Genomic DNA, 10913 nt, shown 5'->3' on the forward strand with positions numbered 1-10913 from the left:
TCTCCTGCCGCAGCCTCCCAGGTAGCTGGGATTATAGACGTGTGCCACCACCCACGGCAAATTTTTGTGTTTTTAGTTGAGACGGGGTTTCGCCATATTGGCCAGGCTGGTCTCGAACTCCTGACCTCAGATGATCCACCCTCCTTGGCCACCCAAACTGCTGGGATTACAGGTGTGAGCCACCACGCCTAGCCAGGTAAGTAACATCTTAAAAAGGTAATTGTGAAATATAACATATATACAGAAGATGTCTAAAACATGTATATGAATCTATAATATATTAATGTATATCTATTACATATGTATCTGTAAGAACATTCCCTTTCTTTCTTTATAGTTTTATTACCCATATATGCATTTCTAAATAATATAATTTAGTCTTGCCTATTTTTGAAATATAAGTGAATGGGATCATACTGTACATATTCTTTCGAGTTGTTTTTTTTTTAAACTTACTCTTATCTTCGTGAAAGGCTAGAAAATGTAGACCCTGACTGGACAGCCACATCCCAGCTGAATTCTAATACCATGGAAGAAGGAGAGAATGGATGTTGGTGGATAATTAGCCATTTTGCTACAATGTATTACTCACCCACTTCCCATTATTTCTGGAGTTATTTCTTTCCCGCTTACTTTGATTAATAATTTCCCCTTCTTTTCTATCTCACGGCAACCTCAATGATAAAATCATGGAACCAATGAGTAGGCTTTAGTTCAAGAAGGCAATAATTTCTTTCTAGGTGGTTTTGGGCAACGTGAGCAGAAATGCCCTTCTACACCATCAAATTTTTTTTTTCCTCTCTCTCTCTCTTTTTTTTTTTTTTTTTTTGAGATGGTGTCTCACTCTGTCACCCAGGCTGCAATGCAGTGGCACAATGTTGGTGCACTGGAACCTCCATCTCCCAGGTTCAAGCAATTCTCCTGCCTCAGCCTCCCAAGTAGCTGGGATTACAGGTGTGCACCACCACACTGGGCTAATTTTTTTTTATTTTTAGTAGAGGTGGGGTTTTACCATGTTGGCCAGGCTGGCCTCAAACTCCTGAGCTCAAGTGATCCGCCCACCTCAACCTCCCAAAGCGCTGGGATTACGGGTGTGAGCCACCACGCCCAGCCTCAAATTTTCTTGAATAAACATATTTTGAGGGCTTACCTCCCATAAGATACTAAGCACATGCAAAGGCATCCTGACTGCTTACCATGCATGGAAATTCCAGTAAAAGGGCATGCACAGTTGAAGGGTTAAGGGTATGTGCACCCACAGGGTAAGCTTAGAACCAACTTATAGAGTCTTAGATGTCCAGCCATATCCTGTCCTGCAAGGACAGTCCCATGTAGTACATGCAGAGAAGGGTGGACTGGATGTGAGATACATAGGGGGCTGTGGGCATAGGAGAGGTGGTGGGATAGGGTGAGGATCAGAAAGACCTAGGAGGTGTTTCCTAGCTCTGCTCTAGTTGGGCAAATCTCTTAATTACTCTCAGCCTCAGTTTCCTCATCGGTAAAATGTACGTATATCTGAGAAAGAGATAGTTATTATCCTCATTTTACAGATGACGAATCCCAGGCTCAGAGAAGTTATCTTGCTCAAGAATTCATTAGAGAAAGCAGAGTCAGGATTCAAGCCCAGGCAGTCTGACTCCAGAGCTGGAGTTCTTTATTGCTAAGAATCACTAGTGGGATGGGAGTGTGCAGAATGAGTGGGGGGAGAAGGATATACGTTTAACACACTTAATACATCCGCTGTTAAATGTTTCCTGATTTCCAAGTTGTTAAAAGGAGAGTAAGTGTGTTTTAGCATGAAGGAAACACGGTGCTGTGGGTGGGCAGGAAGGATGAGGAACAGAGAATGATCCCCGACTCTCTTATGCTGTTTCTTTCTTGGGTTTACAGCCTTGGGCAGGCCCCAAGTAGAACAGCCACGTAAACGCATGCCTAGAGCGCTTGCCTCCAAGATGAGGGCATGAGCGCAGGATGCCACTAAATTTCCCTCCCCCGGCAGCCAAGGTTTTTGGGATTTGGGGGTGGGGTGCAACGGCTGCCACAGTTATTGTTCCTCCAGAGCCTCGGAGCAAGATATCCCCCCAAAGCCATATTAAATAAATAAAAGGAAATTCAGCAGATGGGAACATGAATCAATGAAAACTCCCATATGAGTGCAAAGATTTATGTCAAAAAACAAAACATCAACATCTGGGAGCTGCCGCGTCTCCTCTTGGCTGCTCGTTTGGAATGGATTCTCAGTGTCGCTTTCCGCCTCTTTCTAGCCCTGGGAGAGGACAGCAAGAAATAAAGAATGATGCCCATTAAAAATAGTCATTTTTAATCAGAAATGAACGCTGCTTTCCCCCTCAAGGCTGGAGGGAACGTGATGCAGGCAGTGGAGCTGCGGGCTCGGCCCCGGGATCGTGGGGAGAGAGAGCCCCCTGCCGAGCGCGGAGGGGCGCCCTCCCTCCCAGGCCCCGGGCCACCGTCTGGGGTCGGTTCCCTCCAGATTTCACAGCCGCGGCAGCAGCAGGAGCGCGCACACGCCCGCGCCCACTGCACTGCGGCGGTGCTCCGCAGCTCAGCCTCGGGGCCATCACGTGGGTGCGGCCTGACCCCGGGCGATTCTGGGGCCGTCTCCGCAGGCAGTTGAGCCTGCCGCTGGGGCGCTCCTCTGGTCAGGGCAAACCTGCACCTGCCTTCCCCAATCCGGGGGAAGGGAGGCGGCGAAAGAGGAACCTAGGCCTTGAGGAACGTGTACTGCGGATCCAAGTCCGCACTTAGCTCTTAAGCTGGGCCACGCGGGGCCTAAAGGGGCAGGCGTTGGATCCTGATACCTGGGTTCAAATCAACTCTGCCACCGTCAACTATGTGACCTTGAAGAAATTTACCTCCCTGAGCCAGCATTTCATCATCTGTAAAATGGGAATAATAGTACCAGTCTCCCAGGGAGGCTGTGAAAAGAAAATGAGAAACCATGCAAAATACTTAACACAGTGCACATATACATACAATTTAATAAATGTTAGCTATTATAATCAGGGATAAAAATTCAAATTCTCATCATAGCCTACACGGCTCTTACAACCCGTGCTCCTAGCTCTGCAGCCTTGGAGAGGTCACTGACCCCTTCCATCACTGGGTTCCAGCCACAATAACCTTGACTTCCACTGAGCAACCTAGTTCCTATCTGCCTCAGGACCTTTGCATCTGCTGTTCCCTCTGCCTAGATGGCTCTTTTCCACCTTCTGCTTCAACCCAGCCTGCCCTTTCTTTGGGCCTCAATTTACTTGTAACATTGTCCAGGAAATTCTTCCCGATTCATTTCTGCCCAAAATATAGTTCCTCTGCTCTATGCTCTCATAGCAGCCCAGCTTCTCCTTCCTAGCAACCTTCCTAATTGAAACGTATCATCAGTTTTGTTATGTTTCCCGTCCATCACCCCCTGGACAATTCACTCCATGAGGCCAGGAGCCCAGCCTATCTCATTCGCTGCTGTATCCTCAGTCCCCGGGACGTGACTGGCCTAGGCTCTCTATTTGTGGTAAATGACCCAGAGGGGATGGTGGGACTCAGGCCAGAGGGAATCCTGGGTCTTCTACATTGTTTCACCAGTTCCTTCCAACAGTAAACATTCATTTATTAAGTTCTTCTATATGCTAGGTCCTGTGTTGGGCACCAGAGACACAGACTCATACAATTCAATCTCTGATTTAATGGAGCTTGTAGTTCAAAGGCAGAGATGGATATGTGAACAGAGGACAACACAGATGGGGTGAAGACAGCAATGGGGGTGGTCATTCCTACAAGGACAGGGCCCTTGGCTCCAAGTGGCATAGATGGACTAAGCTAAGTGCTTTACCTGCATTATCTAACTAAAACTCACAACTATTAGAGAGGCCTATTATCATCCCCATTATACAGATGAGACATAAAGAATTTAAACAACTTGCCTAGTGTCAAAAAAAGAGTAAAAGCAGAAGCGAGATTCGAACAGGCGCACAAACATTCCGATTCAGAGCCAGAGCTCTGATCTACTTGGTCACACTGCCTGGAGAAAACAGCTGTGAGATTACCTACCTCCAACCGTCATGACTCCAGTTCTGTGCTGGATAGAGTTCGGCCCTGCCCCTCCTCGGTTCCTGCCAATAGGACTGCCACCACCCAAGAGCAGAGAGGAGGTAGGGAGAGCAGGGCTGAGGGGCGGGGAATGCATCCACCCTGTTCCACACATGGCACTTAATGAGGAATGTTCACAAGGGCGGCAAAGGGGACCTGCAGCAGCTCAGCTAAAAACAGGAGCATCTCTGACTTCCATGCTGCCAAATCCCCAGTGCTTGAGGGAGGCCCCAGCCTAAACCCAGCTCAATGCCCTGAGGGTGTTGCTGTCACCTTTCTCACCCGCTTCCAAACTTCACTGATCCTGCTACACCTCCCTTCACCACCTGGGGCTTTTTTTAAAGGTTGAATTCACATCCTCCATTTGCTCTCATAATGACAGCTCTGCCTGCCCTCCTAGAACCCAAGAGTCAGCCAGCACAGGGTTTGGAGGCTTCTGGGGGAGCTGTTCTTCAGGGCCTTCTCTGCTGAGGCCTGGCTGAGGTCAGGTACGGGGTTTCTTTGAGGATTCGATGGGACCACCTGCCTTTTCAAGTCTTCCCACCCTCCAGCTATCAGAAAGCTGCATCCTCCACTAGCATCTGGGGAATTCTGACAGGTGGATCTGAGGTCACAGCATGACATCTAATGGATAAATCTAGCAGGTGGTGGAGGACTGAACTGGAACTCAGGAAAGAGGACAAAGGTAAGGCTAATGATAGTCACCGTTTTGAGTTCTTTCTGTGTGCCAGGCACTGTGCTAACTAAGCACTTTACATGTGCTCCATTTCATAGATGAGGAAGTGAAGCTCAAAAAATTCAAATAACTTCCCAAAGTGCACACAACTGAGAAAGTGGTGGAGGATTCAAACCCTGATTATGAGGACTCCAGAACCCAAGCTCTTAACCACTGTATTTTCATTTAAGAGTCAACAGGACAGAGGGAGTTTAAGAGCAATAGGGAAAGAATGGACATCTGGACAATGCTGGTACTAGCGGTCAGAAGGAGGAAGAAGCACTGCTAGAGAGATGTAGAGACCAGGGAAGCTGAAGAGGAGACAGATTTAAGAGTCTGATGCAAAAGAAGGTGATTTTGACAGGACCCAGTGACCAACTGGGTATGGGAGTGTCTGACACCTTTGGGGTATCTGGGCAAATCATGAGAAAGCCAGACAGAAAGCCAGAGAGAAAGGGCTCACTTTGTTGCCTCCTGAGTCCATAATTCTGGTCTTTCCTGGGTCCCAGCTGTCTCTTCCCTTGGGGTTCATTAAATGTCCTGTCCACTCTTCCATACCCTGATAAAACTTTTTCAAAAGCTAGCTTCAGTGAGTTTCTAATATTTGAAGTAAGAGTCAAAACTAGTGTGGGGTCATGGGAAAACCTGAACCAGAGGAAAAAAAGAAAACAGAAAACTAGTATTGGGGAGGGCAGAGAAGGAAGCGTTGAGCCAACAATGAATTCAAGATTCCTTTCCTGGGTGGCTTGGGGAAACTACACAATAGCAGAAAAATGGAAGCAGATGATGAGGTTTTGCGTGTGACGTTTAAGGAGTGGATGGTCAACTGAGTCAAGTGCTCTGGCTCAAGGTGTCTGATGGAGCAAAGGTCCACTGGTGGTTAATGAGGTGGTCTTTGATGACCCTAGTGATCCCTGTGTCAGAAGAAAAGGGATGGAAGCTGGGAGACAAGGCTGAAAAGTGCAGGAGTCATGCAGAAATGGAAGGTAGCATGTGTGTTATTACTTAATTAAGAAATCTGGCAGTAGGGAGAAAGAAACAGAATGGTAGCTGAAAAGGGCAGGAGGATCAAGTAAAGAATTTTTCCCCCAAGATTGGAAAGGCCTGTGTATATTTCACAGGCGGAAAGGAAAAAGGTAGGAGAAAGATGTATGCTTTGGCATGAGGGTCGGGATAATTATAGAGACAAGGTTCTAAAAGGGACAGGAAGGGAATGGGACTGAGAACAGAGTTTAGCCTTAGAACAAAGGGAAGAGACAGACCTTTCCAACTGAGACTGTGTTCTTGTCATTTCCGCCAAATCATAAACACGCCTTACATTTATTTGTTTAGTGTGCAGCTAACCTCTAGGTGTACTCACAGCTGCTCTTAAGTTAGATTCTTCTTCATCATCATCAAATACAGCCACCATTTATAGACCGTGTGCCCAGCAGTTTAACTGTGTCATCTCATAAGAAGAATACCATTATCATTCCCATCATACAGATGAAGAAACTAAGGGAAAAGATATTATAATGAACTTGACCAAGATAACCCAGCTGCTAAGGGAGACAGTTGTGTTGGATGCTAGACAATTCAATTCTAGAAGCCCTGCTCTCCTGTGCTGCTTTCTGACACTTTACAGAGTTGCCTCTAGAGAGTAGGATTAGAGGGTAGAGAGCGTGTGGCAGAGGTCTGCTGTCTTTTGATATAAGCCTTTAGTATTATTTGACTTTTTACTAGAGTAGGAGCTTTTCAACGACCATTATTTATCTGAGGGGTCAAATCCACTGAGCTTGGCTTGCTCTATGCTCCCTGCCAGTGGGCTCTTCCTTAATATACGTCACACTTAAGTATAAATCGACCCCTGGCCGGGTGTGGTGGCTCACACGTGTAATCCCAGCAATTTGGGAGGCCGAGGCAGGCGGATCATCTAAGGTCGGGAGTTCGAGACCAGCCTGACCAACGTGGTGAAACCCCGTCTCTACTAAAAATACAAAAATTAGCTGGGTGTGGTGGCGCATGCCTGTAATCCCAGCTACCTGGAAGGCTGAGGCAAGAGAATCCCTAGAACCCGGGAGGCGGAGGTTGCGGTGAGCCGAGATCGTGCCATTGCACTCCAGCCTGGGCAACAAGAGCGAAACTCCAACTCAAAAAATAAAATAAAATAAAATAAAATAAATTGACCCCTGACCAACCCCATGTCCAGATCCCTACCAGGTAGGTTTTCTATGATATGTTCTTTAAAAAGCAATTAAAACAAAAATATTTGTATAAAGGCATTTGCAGTTTTATAAGAAAAATCCCAGCCAGGTGTGGTGGCTCACACCCATAATCTCAGCACTTTGGTCAGACCTCCTCTCCTGAGGTCAGGAGTTCGAGAACAGCCTGGCCAACATGGCAAAACTCCGTCTCTACTAAAAACACAAAAATTAGCTGGGTGTGTGATCCCAACTACTCAGGAGGCTGAGGCAGGAGAATTGCTTGAACCCAGGAAGCGGAGGTTGCCATGAGCCAAGATTGCACCACTGCACTCAAGCCTGGGCGACAGAGCAAGACTCCATCTCAAAAAATAAAAAATAAATAAAAACAAAATCCCCACTAATAAAAAGCAAAAGCAAGAGGAGCTAGTACTAGTATCAGTGCTGAGGTGATGACTCAGCTTTCTCAGGGCTGAAGGTGAGGTCACTGGCCTAGAAGGCACAGGGTGAAAATGAGGGCTTGACCCCCACTAATACAGCAGCCAATAGCCTTTCTTGGATCCCTCTGGCCTGGTCACTCCCTTGCCAAAACCCTTCCTAGATGTCTCGTGCCTTCAGGACAGAGTCCAAATGTTTTACGGGCTTACAAGGCGTTATGACCTTGCGCTATTTACCTCTCCAGACTAAAGGCCTATCACCACCCCATCGCCATGACTCCATGCCTCCCTCCCGGCTCCAGCTACAGTGATCTTAAACTGTGCTTTCTTTGCCTTTCTGGAACTTTGTATCAGTCAGCTGTGTCCCCTGCCTGAACTGGGTTTCTTTTCCTCTTCTTCACCTGGTTAGTTTCCAGGCCTCATCATTCAGGTTAATTTAGCATCACTGCTTCCAGGAAGTCTTCCTGACTTCCATGCCTAGGTTATGGGCCTTCCCTGGGTGTTCCCATAGCACTCTGTACTTTCTTCACAACAGCACTTGCTTGTCTCCAAAGTCTACTTCCCAGTATTTGTGACCTTATGTTTTCCCCTCCCACACTGATTCTGGGCTGACCCTGTGAGTTGCTTTAACCAACAGAGTGCAGAAGTGATGCTATGCCAGTTCCTGCCAGCTTCCACTTGTGTACTTTTGGAAGCTCTGAGCCACTGTGTAAGAAGTTCAGCGACACAGCTGGAGAGGTCATGTGGCGCAGAGGGGACCTGAGACTACATGGAGAAAGAGGCCCAGCCTTTCCAATGCCCTACTTGAGTCTTCATATGACTGCCATCTGACTACAACCTCATGAGAGACCCCAAGTGAGACCAGCAGAATTGCCCAGCTGAGCCCAGTCAATTTGCAGAACTGTGAGAGATAATGATTGTTTTAAGCCACTCAATTTTGGGGTGTTTGTTATGCTGCAATAAGTAACTAAAACACCACTCTGTATTTTAATTGCTTACTGACTTTGTTTGCACTCCTAGGCTATTTTCTGTGAGGGCAAGGACCACATCCATGTTTTGTTTTGTTTTGTTTTAATTTTTCCTCAAGACAGAGTCTTGCTCTGTCGCCCAGGCTGGAGTGCAATGGTGCGATCTTAGCTTACTGCAACCTCTGCCTCCTGGGTTCAAGTGATTCTTCTGCCTCAGCCTCCCAAATGGCTGGGATTACAGATGCGCACCACCACGCCTAATTTTTTGTATTTTTTTTAGTAGAGATGGGGTTTCACCATGTTGGCCAGGCTGGTCTTGAACTCCTGGCCTCGTGAACCACCCACCTCGGCCTCCCAAAGAGCTGGGATTACAGGCGTGAGGCACTGCGCCCTGCCCACATCCATGTTTTAAAATTGTTATATACTTAGCATATCCTTTAGCACTAAATAAGCTGTCATATATTTGATTAATGCAAATTAAGAATGCCTACAAAAATGAAGGCAACAAGTATCTAGAATACTCACTGTAGTGACAGTACACAAAGTACACAATGGCATGTGTAGTCATCATGAAAGGTGATTAACTGGACAGCAGGCAATAGGTTCCCAGTGTCAGTTTACCTTTGTGGAGGATTGAGTCAACTTGAGGGACTGTGTAGAGGGACTGAGCCACAATCCAAAACCACAGAGTTTGGGGTCTGGCAGTTGAGGCAGCTGCCATTCAACCAACAGCACTCCCGTGAGCTGCACTCAACAGGTGATCTGCTGTGGGCTCCAGCCACCCTCGCCATCTACCCTCACACAAGTGGTCTGATGTTTCTGTTTATGGGGACAAGAGATGCCATAATGCCATTCTATACATGGGGGCAGATGTCCTAGTCTCTCCTTCAAAACTTTTCAACTAGCTTCAAACAGGGAGGGCCCTCAATGAATGTTTGTATCTGCAATGAATACATTTCCACTCAAATCAGTAAATCCCCTGGCTGGGGTCTGGTACCCTTGGCTGTAATAATCATTAGTACAAGATGTTCTGTCAACAGGGATTGTTTGGACATATTCTTTGGGCTGACAATTTATGTCAAGCCCTATGTGGGACACGGAATAGGGAAATGCTATTCCTGTCCTGAAAGGAGAGAACTGGGAAGGCTAGAGTTACACAAATGAGATAAATACCAAGACAGCATATAATTACTGCTAAACTGTGTAGTAAGAAATTAAGTGCTATAGGAATTGGGAAAAGTAGGGAGCAGGGAGGGCTCAAACAGTTGAGGAGTCTACACTGAAGAGCTGGGATTGGGCTGAACCTTGAGAAATGACACAAACTATGGATAGTCTGAAAGGAAGGAGGGTACAAAAGACGCAGGAGGAAGAACACAGCCAAACCAGCATACTTGTTTGTTACTTTATTTTCGGGACAGCAACACAAGGAATGTGAAAGGTTGCCGTCCCAAATCCCGAAGCAAGGCTATTTCTGAATAGTTGTCCAACATTCAAACTTCTGGGCCTTTATTTATTGTTTCCTCCGCTTGCAATGCCTTTCTTCCTTCTCCACCTGGCAAGCTCTTATTCACATTTAAAGGCCCCGCTCAAATGCAACTACTTTTCTGAAGCCTTCCAAGGGATCCCACAATCCATTGTTCATGCTTCTATGGGAACCTAACCTATTACACTTGCCTGCTTACCTCCCCTACTAATATAATTAATAGCAACTTACACTTACTGGGCTTTTACTATGTGCCAGGAACTATGCTAAACATTTTTATTTATTTATTTTTTATTTTTTGAAGGGTATTCCCAAAACACCAAGTTAAACATTTTTAACATATTATTTTATTTAAACCTCACAACAATTGCATGAGGTATTTTCCCTATTTTACGGATGAAGCTCTTGAGACTTAGTGTGGTTAAGGAACCTGCACAAGATAACATACCTACGAAGTAAGCAAGCTGTGATTCCAACCCAGATTTGTGGGACTCCAAAGCCCACTACTAATCCACTGGACCGTGTTCCTGGAGGCCACAAATGCTCTTTCCTCAGCTGTCTTCTCAGATCCTAGAACGGGCTGATATATGGCTCAAAAGTTCTTTAACGGCCAGGCACGGTGGCTCAAGCCTGTAATCCCAGCACTTTGGAAGGCCAAGGCAGGAGGATCACCTGAGGTCCAGGAGTTCGAGACCAACCTGGCCAACATGGTGAAACCCTGTCTCTACTAAAAATACAAAAATTAGCAGGATGTGGTAGCAGGCGCCTGTAATCTCAGCTACTTGGGAGGCTGAGGCAAGAGAATCGCTTGAACCTGGGAGGCAGAGGTTGCAGTGAGCCGAGATCACACCATTGCACTCCAGCCTGGGCGACAGAGAATCCGTCTCAAAAGAAAAAAAAAAGTTGTCTAACATATTAATACAACTTTCAAGCCACATGCCTCGGTCTAAAAGTAGGTGCCCCCAGTACACTTTTACCCCAGGTAGCAACTTCCACTCACCTTAAAGTCACATACCTGGAGGAAGGGGA

The 10913-nt window shown here is 46.5% G+C and overlaps 3 annotated features.

Annotated features, from left to right (window-relative positions):
* Positions 1885–2422: an enhancer, noted in NCBI's record as "H3K27ac-H3K4me1 hESC enhancer chr5:141293283-141293820 (GRCh37/hg19 assembly coordinates)". NCBI's record gives its function as "activates a minimal SCP1, AML or CMV promoter by ChIP-STARR-seq in naive H9 embryonic stem cells {active_cell/tissue: H9 hESC(naive)}" and the evidence as "EXISTENCE:reporter gene assay evidence [ECO:0000049][PMID:30033119]".
* Positions 1885–2471: a biological region, named in NCBI's record as "H3K27ac-H3K4me1 hESC enhancer GRCh37_chr5:141293283-141293820".
* Positions 2332–2471: a silencer, noted in NCBI's record as "silent region_16463". NCBI's record gives its function as "represses an Ori minimal core promoter by ATAC-STARR-seq in GM12878 lymphoblastoid cells {active_cell/tissue: GM12878}" and the evidence as "EXISTENCE:reporter gene assay evidence [ECO:0000049][PMID:35858748]".

This window comes from Homo sapiens, chromosome 5, assembly GCF_000001405.40.
Source record: "Homo sapiens chromosome 5, GRCh38.p14 Primary Assembly".
In the NCBI taxonomy this organism is placed as follows: Eukaryota; Metazoa; Chordata; class Mammalia; order Primates; family Hominidae; genus Homo; species Homo sapiens.